Consider the following 19,726-nt stretch of genomic DNA (forward strand, 5'->3'; position numbering starts at 1 on the left):
TTGTATGTAGCAGGTGTATTTATGTACATAGATTGGACACAGTGTCAATCTCAGAACCTAATAATGGAATCAATTTTGTCTACAGGGAAGCCATACTCAGTGGTTTCTTTGCTTGTGTGTCCAGTCCATGAGTAGCTTGGAAAATAGCAAAGCCAGGTTGAAAAGCCATTTGAGATCCTTGAATGCAAAGTGTAAAGTACATGCCAAGTATCATTATTATGAGCTTTATTGCTACTATTTTACTAAGTGTTTCAGATTAATATCAATTCTGCTTCATGATAAGTGCTCTTGCAAAGTGGGAGAACTTGCAAGGTAGCTCAGGGAAGGTTGCACAAGAGAGAGCACACAGTTTCCTAGAAACTTCACCCTTCCCCCATACCCCCTGTTCAAGCCAGTGGTAGCTTGACTGTCCCTAGAAATCAGGATAGTGTTTCAAGTTATCATAGCCCTTAAAAAGATGACTGTCATGGATGTGACATAGGGGTATAGCTGCCAGGAAATAAGAGATAGTGGACCATGAGGTAACGTTGTTAAGTCTGTTAAGAAACCTCTGTGGGGCTCCTATTGTGTGCCAAGCTCAGTGCTCTCAAATATTCTCCCTTCAGCCTAGAAGAGAGACTGGTACCTGCTGTAAGGGGTCTGGCATGGAGAGAAAGCCGGCTTCCCTGAGAAGAGGATGGGGGATAACTGGGGACTCACAGTAATGGAGGAGACACCCATACCCCTCGGAGAGGCTGGGTGTTTCTGGGTCTTTTCCCCAAATGCTTCACCCCCAAATTTAGAACAATATAGCTTTACTTTGTGTTTTAAAATGACAGTTGTATTAACTGTATTTTCTACAGCAGATCACTCATCTCTTAAATAGATTATGCATTGATCGTCTTCAAAGGGCTAAGCACACTCAAAATATTCTCTAAAGTCATTCTCATGCCATACCTGTGACATGGATATTACAGCCACGTAGTTTTTGCCAATGAGAAAACAGAGGAGTTAGATGCCTTGCTAAGATCACACACTCCTGGTCGGTGGCAGAGCCAGGAGGCGGCCAAAAGCCTATGCCTGTCAGCCCCACAAGGCTACCTTATTGGATTTCCTGGTTAAGGATGGGAGTCAGCGTTATCTCTATCATTTCTGTCAGCCACTATGTCTGGAATAAGTGACAATAATAGACCTAATTTAGGACTCCGAGAGGTTTGCCAGTTCTTCCTCCTTCTCCCTAGAAAGCAAGTCAGACAGGGACAAGTCTATTTTTTAAGAGCCCAAGAAGAGGAAATTTCAAAATCTCTATTAGCCATTTAATTGTTTTACACTATTTGTTCTTGGGAGATATTCTTTTCTAAGTTAAATCCACATGCTGCTGATGTACTGTTACTATTCTGCTTCAGTTGTGTTTGAAAGTAACTGGTGACCATTCTCAGATTATAGTAATTTGCAACTTTGAAGATCATCATCATTATCTGCCAGCCTTCTCTAATGTCTCCCCCATGGGCTAAAGAAGTCTTATTTCCTTTACTTTTCCCATTAAGTCTTCCCTTCCGGCTTTTTAGTATTTTCTCATGCTTCTCTGGAACCTTCTCCAAATTCTCCACACCTCCCCCTTCTCCCCATGATGCCTGACAAGGATCCCTTTGGGAATCCTCACTCTGATCCCAGGGTTTTTGGTGATTTGATCACAGCGGTGATTGAGATAGAGCCTGAAGCTCTCTGTTAGGATATAACCCAGTGAAGAGTTTGCTCAGCCTTGTTAGGCAATGCCCCTTTCCTTGTTCATGTTTCCTTGGAGAATAAGTGATCCTCTCAGCACGCTATCACTTTATCATTAAGAATAGAACTTGAGAAATCAGGCTTTTAGCAGCCCAAGGTTGCATAGTCCATGCATGTAGTCACAGCTGCTGAAAACCACTCCCTCTGGGCCACCGACACATCCCTCCCCTGCCAATGTATCGTGGAGCTAATAAATTCTAGCGCTGCCTTTTAAAGAGCTGAAATAATCCCAGCGAGTGGCTGGGTGGAGGGTGTCATAAATTTGGTCTCCCAGGAGAGATATTTGAAAACTGCCGAAGAGACCCTGCCTTGAGATTCGAGAAAAGGTGAAATAAGAGCATGAGTGAGGGCAGCAGTGAATCGAAGAGCCTTGCAGGAGGCACGGGATAAGCAGAGGCTGCCGGGAAGATCCAATAGATCTTTTATAAGAGTTCTGTTTTCATGGAAGTCTCTTGCTGCTGGAGCTATTGCCATTCAGCTGCAAAATTCCGTCATCTATTTGGAATATAGATATTGGAAGATTGTGCTAGGTGTGGATTCCACCACAGATTATTCGTTAAAATACACTAACTGACAAGCTCAAACCTAAACAGAATTGCTGACTTGGAGCTCAGAATGGGGGTGGGGCTCTCCGTGTGACTGTGAGCTCAGGGAGCTCTCTGCCTCTGCAGAATACCCAGGCAAGTGCGCCAGTGAATGTTTTCATGAATTATTCATTTATGGTGAATGAATGCAAGCAGCAATCACATGTAAATGACAAGACTCATAATCAGAGGGCTACTTATTTGTCCTTGTGAGGCAAGGAGGAATCTTTTTAACAACTCACAACGGAAAGAAATTTAACTGAGAGATGTCTTTCTGAGGATATTTTTTCCCAGCTAGTCAGATGTACAGCACTTATTTGAGTTGCGTTCAAAATCATCTTTTATTTCATCTTTTGGTCTGCATTTACTTGCCTTTTCTAAGTGTAACTTTATGAATAATTGATGGAACTGGGAAGTTATTGGCTGATTGAAAAGCCATCTCTTCATGTCTGTAAGTCTGACCTATGGGTAAAGCCAACTGTTCAGGCTTTTAGGGTCTTTAATGAAAGGTCTTTATAAAAAGCCTTTCACTCTTTATAAGGAAAAAAAAATCAGATTTTGAAAATGGATTTTTTTTCTGACAATAGTACATTAGAAACCAATCCAGCCAGGTTTTTGGTTAATAAATGAATCAAGCTGACTGCATGACTAATTCAGATTAATGGTGCAGAAATCAGTCACTAAAGAAGCCAAAAAAAGTTTGCTTTAATAGTCTTAACAGAATGATCATAAATTCGGATCTCCCCTCCTATTACTGCTCTCTGTGTTTAAAACGCTTGAAAGCCCTAGTAAACATCTCCTCCGCCTAAGTAGATGCAGTGTATATGCTATAAAACAAGGCAAAGTCTCCAGCAGGATGCAGATCTGTTAGCTGTATTATGTTTTATTACTACCATTGGCTTACTTGAAGCCAGGCTTTTATTAAAAAAAAAAAAAGAAGAAGAAGTTATCGTTTGCAAAATAACAGATACTACATCCATAAAATAAAGGCATCAGTAGTACCAAATTCATAAAAAGGAGGCCCAAATTTACCTCGTGTGGTAAACTTCATTTCCAACACCCTGGTGATAATGATCCAAAAGTGCCCTTGTCAATATCGATAAGTCCGTGCGAAGCAGAAATGAGATGTTTAGTTGACCACAGTGTGGGTGTAACTGGTGCCTCCTTGCGCACAGCTTTGAGCATTCTAAAGTACGACCTTATTGCAGGGCAGGCATCCAATTTTTAAAACATAGTGTAGATTGGAGACAGATGAGTGTTCCTGAATTATCCTTGGCCTTTTCTTATGAAATGCCTAAAATATAATTTCAAGTGGAAATTGATTTAATTGATGTGAAAACAAGTGGGTCTAGAACTCATCTAAAAGCTTGAGTTTAAGGGGTGTTGATAAAAACTACACATTACCTTTTATGCTTTTCAAGAACAGAAATGAGTTGTATTAAGCTGTTAATGTAAAATGGAGTTCCATTTATGACTTGTAAATCAATTAATTTATTCTCATTAGTAAGTGAAGATATCTATTGAACGTGATTCCTGGAATGTCCATTGTTAGAGTGATTCTTGATATTTATGTTTTCATTAATAAAAGACATATTTATTAAGCACCTACTAGGTACCATGTACTCTCTTAAGTTTCAGAAATATCTGCTACAGTAAACAGGTAGACATAATATCAGACTCATGAAGTTTATTGTCTAGCTGGGAGAAGAGACATTTTTAAAAATTACTCAAAATTAATGAATTGCTAGATGCTATGGTGAGTGCCTGTAGTCCCAGCTACTTAGGAGGCTGAGGCAGGAGGACTTCTTGCTCCCAGGAGTTTTAAGCCCACCTGGGCACCATAGCAAGACCCCATCTCTAAAAATTAAACATAAATCATTGATGAATTAAATCAGGAAGCTGAAATGGTCCCTTCTAAGAGCCTACAGAACACATTTAATTTATCATTATATATACACCAATTGGAAATTTGTAAATAAATTATTATTTAAATGATCTAACTGGCCAAACCAGTTTTCCTTTCTAAAATGAGAGCGTGCACCAAGCCTGACACATATTTGTTGTTTAATTGATCTTTGATGAGTGATTGATTCATTGATTGAATAGCGATAAATGTTCCTAGAGAAATGTACAGGGTATACTGAGAGCACTCGAGAAAGGGCTCCAGTCTGATGTGGTTGCCCAGAGAAGGTGGTGAAGATTACATATGTCAGGTTTTGTGGCAGGAAGACAGATGGCGCTTCCATGAAGGTGAAAGGAAATCACTATGGCAGGTATACCAGGCCCAGAGCAATGAGCGAGAGAGGTGGTCAGAGGCCAGATGGTGCAAGGTCTTGGAGCTTTGTCATGTTGTGTCACAGGGAGGTGGGCTTACTGGTCTCCCTGATAAGCTATAGCATTCGCTGTTTGACAGTGACAGTTTTAGGACAGGAGAGGGGCTAGGGAAGAGGCAGAGAATAGGCTACAGATACAAAGGCAAAATTCTCTTCCTGCACACTCAACATTCTGTGTCACCAAAAGAAAAGCAGATGGGGAAATCCCAGATCTTCAGCCAGCAGCCCTCCCTTGAGCCTAAGAAAGCGTGGAAAGAGAGAATACATGTTTTAATTGAGTCTGCTGGCATTTTGATGCCTTTTCTAAGGCTAAATATTTCTACTTCTTTGTGTCATTTGTTAAAAGGGGAAATATTATATCTGCTCTCTAGGAGCTTGACAGTAAGATTTGGTTCGGAACATGAGCTCATTCACAAAAAGATATGGGTAATAAGACGTCTTTTAAAAATATGGGTCAGGCAGCTTTCTCGTGTTCCTAATTCTTGCTTCTGTGTTCATTTGTCATTGTTTTTAGGAAAAACAAGATACTGGGGAACTAGTTTTGTTCCATTTTGTGGAAATATTCTCAAGGGCTTTTTCTGAAAAATAATGTGAAGTCATTTTGAAAATTCTGTAAAGTTGTGGGTGAGAGAAGTTCATTTGCCTCTGTAGAAGGGTTTGGAAATCTAAAGTTGATGGATTTTTAAAGAAATATCTTACATGCAGCCAGTGTTGGACCTTTTACATTTGTTGGACTGTGGTTCTTTAAAGCTAAAGATTGGTGTTTTAGAGCAAGCCATAATTTTTTATTGTAGTATGGTGATTAATCTGTTGTTAGATCAACATTTCAGAATAATAATAGTGACAAAAATAACCCATTTAGTATATTCAACTGCTCATTTAGTATCATGAGATAAATATCTCTATCACCCCCATTTTACAGTTGAAGAAACTGAGGCACAGAGAAGACAAGTAATTTGCCCAAGGTCACACAGCTGGTAAGTGATAGAGCTAGGATTCCAACCTAGGTAGTCTGGCCCATGTCCTTCACTTTACACATCACTCCATTTTACAATGTAATTATTACCTGCCAAGGAAGCTAAGTATATTGTCTTTCTGTTTAACCTTCTACTTGATTATTCTAACAATTTTCTTTCTTTATGAAAATAGACCTGAAATCCCAGCACTTTGGGAGGTCGAGGCAGGTGAATCACTTGAGGTCAAGAGTTCAAGACCAGCCTGGCCAACGTGGTGAAACCCCGTCTCTCCTAAAAATAGAAAAATTACCCCGGCATAGTGGCACATGCCTGTAATCCCAGCTACTCGGGAGGCTGAAGCAGGAGAATCACCTAAACCCAGGAGGCGGAGGTTGCAGTGAGCCAAGATCACACCCTTGCACTCTAGCCTAGGCAACAAGAGTGAAACTCCTCAAAAAAAAAAAAAGAGAATTTATTATTATTATTATTATTATTTTCTGAGATGGAATCTCACTCTGTCACCCAGGCTGGAATGCAGTGGAGTGATCTCGGCTCACTGCAGCCTCCACCTCTTGGGTTCAAGCGACTCCTGTGCCTCAGCCTCCCGAGTAGCTGGGATTACAGGTGCCCACCACCACATCTGGCTAATTTTTGTATTTTTAGCAGAGATGGGGTTTCACTGTGTTGGCCAGACTGGTCTCAAACTCCTGACCTCAAGCAATCCGCCTGTCTCGTCCTCCCAAAGTGCTGGGATTATAGGTGTGAACCACTGCACCTGGCCAAAAATAGAAATTTTTAAATTCCACTTTGGAGAAGAATGAGTAAATAAGCATTTTGCATTAGTAATTGCCACTTCTTAAGATTTAAGAGTTTGTATTCCTCTCTTTAGCATTTCAGTCTCCTGTCCCAGACAAAAAAAAGAAAAAAGTAGTTTGCCAAATTAGGCTACAAGACTTCATTTAAGAAGGTCCAAAAGAAGCACATATTTTAAAAAATTTTTATTTATTTTTTATTTTTTGAAATAAAGTCTCGCTCTGTTGCCCAGGCTGGAGTGCAGTGGCAAGATCTCAGCTCACTGCATCCTTGACCTCCCAGGCTCAAGCAATCCTCTCACCTGTGTCTCCCAAGTAGCTGGGACTATGCCTGGCTACTTTTTGTATTTTTTTTTAATAGAGATGGGGTTTTGCCATGTTGCTCAGGGTGGTTTCGAACTCCTGAGCTCAAGCTCAAAATGCTAGGATTACAGGCGTGAGCCACCTCACCTGACCAGAAGCACCATGTCTTTGCATAAGCAAATACAAGTGCAATGAGCAAATATTCTTTTTGTGGTCTGGGTGTGAAATTTTGTTGTATTTAAATGAGAAAGAAGCATGAGTCCCGTGGAATATAAAGCCTTTTTAATCAACTTCTCTTAATTTTTAGGAACACCTTCTATTTGGGGTTTAGTCATGTTTTAAATGCAGTTTTGATATGAAGAACTAAATGCTGGCTGGACCGGCTTGATTTCACTAAATGAAGACGCTGACCACCTACTGTGTGCCAGATGCTGGGTTAAGCACTGTGGTTGCTGCAGTGAGCAGTGCATGATACCCTTATCATGATGGAAGTCATAATCTAGTTGGATTAAGAACATCTTGTTTTCAAGTCCTGAAATCCGAATTTTAGAGCTTCAAGAGTCTTTGAGATGCCTATAGGCTCATCTGTTCATTACAAGATGGTGAAATGGAGAGCCTGAAAGTTAAGAGTCTTTTCCCCCAGTCAATAACTTTAATAACAATGACATCTGGATATCCTCCTGCTCCCTGAAGCTTTTTGTTTTTTAATTCTGTTCTCCACCAAGTCCTTATGTTATTATTTTTTCAATTTTTTTTCAAGATTTCTTCGATATCTATGGTCTGTTATTTGTTTTCTGTTTTTCGGTTTTTTTGGAGATAAGAGTCTCACTGTGATGCCCAGGTTCCCAGGTTCCAGGTTGGAGTGCAATGGTGTGATCTCGGCTCACTGCCACCTCCACCTCCTGCGCTCAAGTGATCCTCTCACCTCAGCCTCCAAGCATCACCATGCCTGGCTAGTTTTTGTGTATTTTTCTTTTTGTAGAGACAGAGTTTTTCCATGTTACCTAGGCTGGTCTCGAACTCCTGGGCTTAAATGATCCACCCAGCTCTGCCTCCCAAAGTTCTGGATGATAGGCATGAGCCACTGCACCCAGCCTGTGGTCTGCTTTTGATGCTAATTAAAAGAAAATGGGAAGATCAATATCTTCCCATCTTCTAACCTACTTTTTTTTTGCATTATTGACTCTCTTTCCTTTGCCTGGTCACATACGTGGCAGATCTGTCTGTCCTGAGAGTTTAACAGATAGTCCCAGTGTGCCACAGATCTTCTGAAGACCTGAGAAAGGACAGCAGGGTGGAGAGACCCCTTCGCACCTTCCAGACGAAAGCACTGGCCTGAGGATAGGCTTGCCCAAGGGCAAAGAAGACCCTGTAGACACAGTTCTGGCTTTTCAGACACCCCTAGACAGGAAAACATCCTTCGGGGGGAAAAATGAGGACATGAAATCGCTTGCTGCGGTGCCTATCATTCTGTTAAGGACAGTGAAAACACAGTCTGTCATCCTTGACATTTTAATTGAAAGAAAAGCTTACATAGATTTCAACTGTAAGCAGTATGTTTATACAAGTGTAGAAAGAGGAATAATCTGTCAAGTTGGAAAACTCTTAATGCTGCAGGACTCAGTTTAGTAATTGAACAATCCAACATGAGCTCACACATCTTACCTTGTTCCATGCCTCAATAATTTTTAGTAGGAATACTTTACCTAGAGGCATATGGTTATTAAAAGGGAGGCTTGGCCTGCACCAAGTCTGGAATTATTAGCTCATGGCAACAAGCCTGCACTGGAGAAGGACTGTTGGGTCTTTGTTTTCACAACTTTACTGCAATTTGCCATATTATTTTCAGAGTCTAACTGATGTGTTGTTTGGGAAGTTTTGTTTTGTTTTGTTTTAAAGGAAGAAAATGGAATTTCATGTGGATGAGTGAATTCTCACGTTAGCAGTATTACAGGATTTTACTACTTTATAGAAAGTCCAGGGAGCACTGTGAATATCAAAAGAAATGAACTGTGAATTTTTTAACATAAAAAATCAATAATAACGTAGTTATGGGAGCCATCCAGGTGTGATGGGGGAAACCCTGTACGGCAAGTTGAGTATAAGCCCCGTTCCCGTTCATGACCCATGTGACCTTGGGAAAATTTAAATGTCTCTGAATTCAGCATACTCCTGACTTAAATGGGAAGAATATGATCTAACTACCTCATTGCATTGTTTCAAGGCACATGAAGTTAGGGACAATAAAATGCCTTTAAAAATATGAAGTATTATTTAAGTGCAATAGAAAAAGTTTTATGCAAGTATAATGTATTAAATAATAATTCTAGTTTCAATATACATGAAGGGAATTAGACAATGCCATGCTTACTTTAACGATATGAGCATTCTGGACAAATGATTGTTTCTTGGACCTAGCTACATAGCTACATGCGTCAGTCTAGTCCTTTATATACCTAGTGATGAGTAGGCACAGGTCATTTAATTTACTTTTTTCAGTTTTTGTAGTTTTAAAAATTCAAGCAAGAAACAGAGAGAAAATTCTGCTGGTTTGGTAGGTGGGGGTTGGGGAAATGATTTATAGAATCTGTGTAGAACAATAACCTCAAAATTATTCAGAATCCAAACATATAGGGATCTCAAATAATCCTTTCCCTTCTATACACTACTAATTAGCTTGATCGATATCATTAGGAAATTATTATTATAATCCCAAGGGAACCTAGTACCCTGAAAGGCTATCTTAATGAGGAAATACTTGATATTTTAAAATCTGGTAGGTCTCTACAAAGTGTAGAAATAACCTACCTAATAAGAACACTGAATTAAATGAAACATACCATTCCCAAACTATTTATATAACTGAGAGTTTTCCATGGTTTCAGGAAGAATAAAAACTCATTTTAAATGTAATTACTTTTGCATCCCCATTCGCGTAACCATTAAGTTGTTTAATTAATTTTTTCTCTAATTTTTTTTAATTTTTATTTTTTAGTAGGCAATCTCCTGAACTAGAATAGGTTCAGACAGATTCCCTGATTTCTTTTTGAAAAAGAACACCTCAAAAAAATCCTAATGAACAATATTATTTTTCATATGTCCCATTGGATACAGAATGTAAATGATGATAATATGTTGCCCTTTGTCCCATGAGCATGATATTGCAAACCAACATAATAAAAAGAAATGTTTTTAGCTGTCTTTGCTATAATATTTTTACTTGTTCCTAACTGTCTATACTTAAAACATTCCCCTCTGGTGACTAGGAATACAAACGTGGTAAAAGGCTGTATGTGTGTATAGCTGTATTGTGTACATCTATTGAGATGGATATATAGACGGATGGATAGATGGATGATTAGCTATATGTTGGGGTCCTCTCAGTGAATCTTTCTCATTATGGAGGTAGGGAGTTCGGATTATTTATCTTGGATTTAGAAGAACTGACCATTATTAAACATTATATATACACTTTGATATTCCACTATTTTCTATTCAGTAAAGTTCCCAAACAAAACATTAAGACCGGAGGATATCAACAAATTTGGTTGACTGAGCCACATCCTATACCTATCTGACTCAGTCTATCCACCTGTGAAGGAGACTTTAAGACCTAGTGAAGGCACAACCTGCCATGGTATTTTGGATCAATTGAAACCAGCAGTCTTCTAGATCTGTAAAAGCCAAAGGACCTTCAAAGGCCCTCTTAGTCCTTATTGTCAATCTATACTCCAGAGTTCCAAGAGTACATGTCAAGAAATACCCATAGCACTTCATCTGCTTATCCGAAAGCACTCATCGTTGTTACAAGCTGCTTCCATTAGCCTCTCTGTGTATCTCCTCACATACACATTCTACTAATACAACTGAGTGTAATTAGTGTATATCTGCATAATCTCTGCGGAAAGGCTTTATATTCTTTTTTTTTTTTTTTTTTTGAGATGGAATCTCGCTTTGTGGCCCAGGCTGGAGTGCAGTGGTAGAATCTCAGCTCAATTCTCCTGCCTCAGCCTCTCAAGTAGCTGAGATTACAGACGTGCGCCACCACGCCCAGCTAATTTTTGTGTTTTTAATAGAGACAGCGTTTCACCGTGTTGGCCAGGCTGGTCTCGAACTCTTTATATTCTTTTATATTTTCATATATACACCTATCTAAACTGATCATAAATCTTGACTGATTAATGACTAATCCTTCTATGATGTGTGTGACTCTGGTGGTTAGCTCTATTTCCAAAAGACCTCTTGGGCAAAAAGAGTGGAAAACTTTATCTTCTTTGAAATTGCAACAGGCATGTGAAGGAAGAATATGTTGGCATTCTGTCCCCCACCTCAATCTTCCACTTTTCATGGGAGCCAAAGGAACTCTGGGGAAGCAGCTCCTTCTCCTACTCTGGTTGGGAGCACTAGACAGGGCTGTCTTCTCAAGCACAGGAAAGTATTGCCCTACCCAGAACATCTCTGTCTGCAACCTTTGCCCAGCACTTAGCACGAGGGAGCCTCTCCCTCGTTCTCTCTCTCTTAAGAGAATGCATTAATTCTGGAAGCACTAGTTTCTAGCATAACATTCAGGAGAAGGTTGTTTAACATGGAAGCCTCAGAGGTCCTGGGAGGTTTTTGTTTGTTTGTTTTGTTTTGTTTGTTTGTTGTTAGGTCTTTAATTAAATGATTTGACATTTATACAGCTCCCCAGAGCAAAAGCATGAGGAGATTGAGAATTTATGTGGGGAGGTCTCTTGTTTGCCATTTTTAATAAACACAAATAATTCCCTTTTTCCCTCAGCTCCACATTCTCTGGCTCATTAAATCAATTTAAGGCTCTTAAAATTGTTTTCTGGCAAATTGAAGCAAAAGCTCAAACTATGTACAATACTCCCCCGAGGAGTGCTTACCCAAGTCTTGTAGGTCAGGCCCAAATCAGTTTCTGTGAAACAGCCTAACACCTCGCGTTATTATGAAATGAGAGGCTGGTAATTGGAGGCTAGGCTCCGGACTTGCTCTGAGAAAGGCCAGCTGTGCTGCCGCACCAGGATCCGGCTTCTTTGGTTTGTTTTTTTCCATTCACAGTGGAGAACGCTGAAAAAGTCAAAACAGATTTCTGTTGGGAATTCATGAATGAAGTTTGCTCTGAAAATCCAGAGAGTGAAAGTGTTTCCAGAGCAAAGCCAGGCAGGCTTCCAGGCAGAGGTGTGGGAGAGCGTGGCTAAAATAAATGTACATAGATCTCAGGCTCTAAGACACTTCAGAGGGCTGAGATTTCTGAGTAAACAAAGGATTTCACCACCAAGTTCCTTTCCTAAGATGCGAGCGTTTAGGAGACTTATTGGCTTGTTTCTATTGAACATCAGTTAGATAACAGAGGTCAGGAAATGAAGTGGAATTTGATATATTAACTAGGAAGCAGCAAAGGAAACCAGGCTTGTGTTTTATTTGTTATTATTTCCCTAATATCCTCAATTATGTGACTCTCCCATCAGTGGATCTGATCTGCTGCACATGTGACATTGTTGTCCCTGCTGTTCTGGACACTGGGGAGACAGGGCCAGGGCACCAGGAATCATGTTTGTTTGTTTTTTTCTTTGTCCCAGGCCTGTCCCAGGCTCTCTATCTTCTCTGCTACATCTCCACAACAGACAGAGACAGCCCATGCCAGCCTCCATGCCTGGGACCCTGCCCAACCCTACAATGCCAGGATCTTCCGCCGTCTTGATGCCAGTAAGTGTTTCTGTGTGTCTCACAATAGCTTGTCACTTGCACTGAGGTTTGCCACTCTTGAAAGGGCAAAGGAAACTCTGAGATCCAAGCTGATGGGAAAGAAGGCGACTGCTTCTGAATGGAGGGTTGAGCTGTGTGCAATTTTGCTTTGAGGGCCCAGTTGCCCATCCCCAGGCATCGTGTTGGCTTCCCCACCCTTCAGTGCTTTGCTATGAGATATGGTCCATGGTGACAAGTGGGCCTGTGACACCCAGGGAATGGAATTTGTTCAGGGAGATGGTGTTTCATATCTACTCCAAAGTCTACAGTTTGGGCTGTATACAGAGTGTCCTTAAATTGCCAGTGAGTCGTCTAACCAGGACTCAGGATAATAACTATAATAATATCAATAACAATGATCATACATAATAGCTGCTAACATGCATTTATGCATATCATGTTCTGTTGTTCTGTTAATCATGCTAGCAGTATTTATTGAGTGTTTACTGTATGCTAGTCGCATTCCAAGCACTTGATCCTCACACAAAACAATTCTACAAAATGGGTGTATTACTGTCCCCACTTTTTGAATGAGGAAAGAAAGGCAAGTAACTTGCTCAGCTGAGAAGCAGAGTGGCTGAGTTTTGAACCCAGGAATTCTGGTTCTAGAGCCCACTCTCTTAACCACTATATGATATGCACACACTCTCTCCTTTCCCTCTCACAACAAACCTGTGAGATAGACACTGTTTTTATACCTATTTTCCAGATGAGGAGACTGAGGTATAGACAGGCTGAGTAACTTGGCTAGGGTTACAGAGCTAATAGGTGATGGAGGTAGGACTTAGATCCAGGTAGTCCGACTTCTGAGTCTCCACTCATAATCATTATCTAATAACAAACAATAAAAATAATAGATAAGGCCAGGCGTGGTGGCTCTCGCCTGTAATCCCAGCACTTTGGGAGGCCAAGGTGGGTAGATCATGAGGTCAAGAGATCGAGACCAGCCTGGCCAACATGGTGAAACCCCATCTCTACTAAAAATAGAAAAATTAGCTGGGCGTGGTGGCATGAACCTGTAGTCCCAGCTTCTCAGGAAGCTGAGGCAGGAGAATCGCTTGAACCCGGGAGGCGGAGGTTACAGTGAGCTGAGATCACACCACTGCACTCCAGCCTGGGTGACAGAGCGAGACTCCGTCTCAAAAAACAAACACAAAAAATAATAATAGATAAACATAGAAGGGAGATACCCAGTTTTCCAGAAGAAATATTTCTTTCCTTGCATGGACCTCTTCTTCATCCTCCCTGGCGTTGTGCTTTGGTGAAGATGGCTGGTGTATTCACAGGGCCACCGGAGTTCTCAGAAGCCCTAGAGGCAGTGTAACAACTCAATGAAAACCCTCCCCACAACAATATTAACAATGCCTTGCAAAGCCTTTTAGCATTTTAAGAAATTGTTTCCATTGTTATTTCATTTTATTCTCACAGCAATCCTGTGGGGATACAGTAGCAGTAATTACTGATACACTCATTTTACAGATGAAAAGCTGAAGAAGAAATTGAAGGTAGCTGTCCAATGTCACACAGCTTGTGAGTGAAGAATTGTGGCTGGAACCCACGTCTCAACTGACACTGAGTAGCTCAGATCATCCCAGGTTGAGCAATTTGCTCATTTATCTAAGTATAGGCAGGGGAACGGCGAAGGGCCCGCAGACTCAGTTTAGAGAAATGGACTTGCCCACCCTAAATACTGAGTAGTCCAGATTAGAAACAGTCTTTGCAACACTGGGCCAGAGGACAGATCACGTTGGTTGACTTTACCTATGTTGCTCTCCTTAGACCCCTTTACATGAAAGAAAACAGCACCATCAATGCAATTATCCCACATTTTATTCAACCCAACCAACTACGTGAAGACTTCCACCACAAGCTGTCTTCTTTTAGGCTTTAAGTTGTTCCCATCCAAAAATTATTATTTTTTTACAACTTCTATGCATTGCCCAGAAAAATACCACTGCAGAGACTTTTTAAAAAAAAATTTGGCTAAGCTGTGCACCATTCCCAGAGACAAAGATGAGACACTTAGGCTGAAAAGACCCAGAGAAACCAGTTTCTACCACATCATTTATTCCTACAGCTTGACCTCCTGTTAGTGCTTCAGAGTAGCAGCAAAGGTTCAGCTGCATGGTCAAGAGCTCCCAAACCTGTGACATTGATGTACACAGCTGCCATGGCAATAGGCGTCAGTTTAGAGCAGCGATGCTCACCTGGGGGTGATTTTGTCCCCCGGGGGATATGTGGCAATATCTGGAGACTCCATTGGTTGTCACAACCAGGGTCGGTGGGAAGGTACAGGCACCTGCTGGGTAGAGGCCAGGGATGCTGCCAAACATCCTACAATGCACAAGACAGCCCCCACAACAAAGGATTATTTAGCCCAATATTCAACAGGCCTCAGGTTGAGAAGCCCTGGTCTTGAGTGACATCAATGTAACTAATAAACATTAACTTAAGATTTCTAAAAAGCATATCGTAAGAGTTCCAGGCCCTAGAAACCTAGGCCCTTTCTTCCTTATCGTGTCACCAGTTCCTGTACTATAACTTAGGCATTTCAAACCTGGTCACAGGGGAGACGCTTCCCCTAGAGTTTCTGCCCTGGAAGACCACAGTTCCCTGGGTATAAAAGAGAAGTCTGTGTCTATAAGTGAGGACAGGATTCTTCACTGATTTGTAATGCATGCTGCTGGACCACACATTTTATGAAGTCTAGGTGTAAAACAAAATGATGTATTATTTCATTCATTTACTCATTCATCCATTTCATAAACTTGTTGAGCACCTTCTATGTGCCAAGTACCGTGCTGGGTGCTGGGGACAAGATGAAGAACAAGGCAGGCATTGCCTTCAAGGAGTTCGGTGGGTTGTGATTTCTTATCTTGAAATTCAAATGCTTTAATAATTTGGAAGCGTGAACACACATTTATAATTACAAAACCTCACTGAACTACAGACAGGCTAGCTCCTGTTTTCCAGTGTGTGCAAAAGGTGAAATCCTTTACATGGCTATTTTACCTGCAGTGCTAAATGTTGCCCAGTATTCAGCAAAGCCACTCCCATCTTCTGGGCTTTTTATTCTAATCAACTCATTGAAGTCAAGCTCCTGGTGCAGACAGAGCCTTATTAGTCCAAAGCACCAAATAGTTATTTTGACTCTAGGTCTATAAGACGACAGTCATGAAGTTGGAAATGCAATTTTTTAAATAGATAAATCAGCCTGTTTAAAACTGGCATTTTGTGAATCACAGGTTAGGTAGAGACTATAGCTTTTCCAAAAAGTGGGAAGCGTTGCTGACTACAATTCCAGAAGCTGTAAGCAGGCTACTCTTACCTCTTTATATAACTAGTAGCTTGGAAGGCTCTGGACAATTATCTGTACTTCTGAAAGATCCTTCTTTGGCAACCTGGAAGCAAAAGTTATTTTGGAATTTGATTTCCCTCTCTGAGAGGGTCACCAGTCGGAATAAGGGGTCAAATACTATTCCAGCTCTCCCATCCACCAGCCTCTGGAAGGGGAGATAAAAGTAACATGAATTTTTTTAGAGCAATGAAACTCTTGAATTCTTCATGATTTACAATTACAGTGCATGAATGTACTTAATGGCCCTGAACTTAATGTACTTAATGATACTTTTAAAAGGTTAAAATGGTAATTTTATGTTATTTGTGTTTTACCACAATGAAAATAATTTTAAAAATTAGCTGTTCAGAGATTTAGGGGGGTGCGTGGGAGTGAACATTTTATTTTACTGAATTGGCAAGGCCTCAAAAAGTTGTACGGAAGTGCTTGGAAATGTACAGAAAATTCACCTTTATTAGCTCCTCTTGAAACAGTTTCACACATCTGCACACTGCCAGATGACTGATCAGCTCATTCAGGCTAAGGTAAGACTGATGGCTCTTAACTGTCACAGGGAGTAGCCACCAGTCAATTGAGAGAAAGCTTTTAGCTAGCACCTCTACTAACCCACAGATTTATGTCATAATTATACCCCTGCTCCGAGGCAGACACAACAGAAATTGCAGTCATGGAATCACAACAAGGGAAGAGACCTTTAAGGGTCATTTAGTTCAATGAGCCCTCTCAAGCTTCACTCTTGTTCGTGAGGTTTCAGTCCTCCACTCTTTGAACACCTCCAATAGCAAGCAACTCCGTATTTTCCAAGACTACCTAGGCTAACTTTAAGCAGAAACCTGGTTTCTTAAAATTTCCAATCATTGTTTTCATTTCCATCCGTTGGCAAATGGAAACACGCTTGCATTGAAGAATCTATTCTTGTCCCCCTGAGGAAAGTCTAATTCTTTTCTGTGTGATTTTAGTATTAAGTGTACTTGATTTATTCTTATTCTTTTAAAAGTGTTAATTTTCCACCAAACGGAAAATATTATTAATCAAACACACCCTTCCTGAATGGAAGTAGACATTTTGCCGTATTCGCTTCTTAGTACGAGCACCCTGGAGATTAAAATGCCAGAACTCGATTCAGGTATTTGAACGATGTTCATTTTAGACACAATGGCAGGCCAGCAGGAAGACAATGTGAGAGCGGCCATTCATGTGAAATACAAAACCCTCGGCCGCTTTCTTCACCTACCCAAAGACTTAGCCCTGCTATGAAACCAGGCCTGAAACTGCAGCTGCGTAGAGTAGCAGGGTAACAAGGAAGAAGAGATGCACTGGGCAGCAGCTCAAATGCCTGGCTGGATCACAATGATTGTGTTTGTGAACTAGGGTGACAGGAAGGCCCACCACCTCTGAGAGTGTTGCTTTTAAAACTAATTATTTTGATTGCCCAAAAGATTTATGTTTACTATATAAAATTTAGAGACAAAAAAAGCCATAGATTTCCCAAGTTAACCATTTGGTATATTATTTATCCTTTCATAGTAAGTAACCTTGGTGATTATATTTAGTGGAGTTACTTGAAATAGATCGTTTAGTTTTCCTATAGCTTTTGTATGGATATATTATTCTTTACAGCCATACAAATAAGCACTATTGGTGGTAGCTGGAGTATTTACAAAAGTGGAAATATTTGGTAATTTTATTTGAAAGTGATCTGCCATGACAATGTAGTTCTCTTTGGCCTGGGGCACCCTGTATAGAAGCACGGCTTTGGATGATTCTTTGATGTGCGTGGGTTCAAGGCTCAGGAGGGCATTGCTTACCACACACCAAACCATAGGCCTTCTCAGGATTTCTTCAAAGAAATACTAAACGATCCATTGGACAGAAAAGTGCAGCTTTGTCTAATGACCTAGACTGCCTTTGCAGACTTCTAATTCTTTTCTTTCCTTTCTCTTAGATGGAGCGACAAATGTCAGTGAACTCCAGCATCATGGGGATGCAAGGTCCAAATCTCAGCAACCCCTGTGCTTCTCCCCAGGTCCAGCCAATGCATTCAGAAGCCAAAATGGTAAGTAACAGTTATAATCACCCTTTCATTATTCTGTGACTTTTTCTTTTGAATTTTACTCTGACTCCAAAACCTTAGTTCAGCTAGGTAGAGGGCTCCATCTTTGTTTTGGTGAATGAAAGGCAGTGCAGAGACTGCCTCTCTTTTTGAGGATGTTTGTTACAGAGCCTTGGTGTCAGATAATCATGTAACAAGCACTGGATTGGCAAGTGGTATTAATGAAAGGAACATTTAGGAGTTTTGGTAGATCCATACAAGTTGGGGTAGGATATACCCAAGCGTGTATATATTTGCTCAGCATGTGAAATAATAAAAATAATACAAAACTACTCATTCTTCAAGGTAGTTACAGTTTCAATGCCACTCTTCCTGTCCCCATATTCATTAAGACAGAAGCTTGATGCTTAAACACACACTGGTATGAAAATGTTTTGTGTTTTCTGTTATATTGTCAGAAGTGACATTGATTTGAAAGGATGAGAGCCTTATTTTCTTGCAACCCTTACTGAAAGGCATGATTTCAGGTGAAAATCTTCAGTGATTTTTAACATATGTTACATGTTTGCAGTAAGGTCAGTCTTTCCAATCACAGATAGAGTTATGCATCTATATTCTACCAAATATTAGCAAAACCAATGCAATACGTGTCTGTCTTTGCAATATAAAGTAAGCTTGGTGATTATATTTAGTGGAGTTACTTGAAATAGGTCATTTAGTTTACATACAGTTTAATTCTCATGCCACAATTAATAAGGTATCACATGACTGCAAAATACACTGCAGCAAACTTTCTAGCATCTGATATTGGATAAGGATAGCTTGTGCTAGAAGTTGGAGATTAATCTGGTCTGCTGACTGGCAGCATTAGAGACTGTATCTGATGGTTGGTGTGAGGATGTTGTTGACAGTTCTGAAAGTTAGCCATCAATTCCTGTGCAGGGTGGAGTCAGACCCAGTGACTTCCTTTTCAATGTCAGCAAGAGTTTTCTCATGCCTGCTTTGGTCACTTTCTCTTGGAAACTTCACGCATTTGACTTGCAGCTTCTTGACCCGAGGAATCAACTGAGCTCCCAGTGCTGGCTACCTTGGGCAAATAAAATCTGTGGTTGAGAGAGTTCTCTTTGCTGTGCCACAGTCCCTGTGATGTGCCAAATGGCACCAGCATTTGCAGCAAAGCTCGTTAAATCTTTTTGGAATGGGCAAATATTTTTTCAACTTGAGCCCTGCTGAGCCAAACCAAATACTTGCTGGCAGAATAAAGTTCAAACTGGCAACTGTTTTGGAGACCAAAGTAATGCCATATATCTTTTTTTAAAAAAAAAAAAAAAAAGAAAGAAAGAAAGAAAGAAAAGAAAGAAAAGAAAAAATGAACTGTGAAGGTACTTAAGAAAAATAAATGTAAGTTCTTCATGTATATGAATAAATACTCAGGGTCTGTGTCTGAGATGTTACTCCCTGTGGTTTACTTTGGAATCTTCTTATCTGCTTCAGGGTCTGTACCTTTTGGAGGGACCTTCCAGATAGATATTAGGTAGATTCTAAAACACAATTCCAAACTGAATTTCTCTGCCAGTTGATTTTCACTGGATTTTATGCCACTGCTTGACTCAAAAGTGTCCTTCTTCTCTTCTTGCTGGCAAAGAAGGAAAATGCTTCCAAAGGTGGTGCAGGTTTATACTTATTTATACGTATGAAATAAATCATATGATTTGGCAAATGAATAGTGAATCATGTCAGTTGGAAACAAAGGGAACTGGTCTGTACTTATAAAAATAGTTTTACCCCACAAATGTTTGTTGGGTTAAATTT

At 40.4% G+C, this 19,726-nt stretch overlaps 1 protein-coding gene across 13 annotated transcripts in view; it reads left to right on the top strand.

Moving 5' to 3' along the window:
* Nucleotides 1-19,726, top strand: part of CREB5 (cAMP responsive element binding protein 5) — a 526,574-nt gene that overhangs the window by 407,095 nt on the left and 99,753 nt on the right. For all 13 annotated transcript variants that reach the window (NM_182899.5, XM_017012807.2, XM_017012808.2 and 10 more), the window contains 2 exons: nt 12,338-12,464; nt 17,807-17,917. In NM_182899.5, coding sequence (NP_878902.2) covers nt 12,338-12,464; nt 17,807-17,917 — 238 coding nt within the window. The remainder of the gene's footprint in view (nt 1-12,337; nt 12,465-17,806; nt 17,918-19,726) is intronic.

The sequence above is a fragment of the Homo sapiens genome, chromosome 7 (assembly GCF_000001405.40).
Source record: "Homo sapiens chromosome 7, GRCh38.p14 Primary Assembly".
Taxonomy (NCBI): Eukaryota; Metazoa; Chordata; class Mammalia; order Primates; family Hominidae; genus Homo; species Homo sapiens.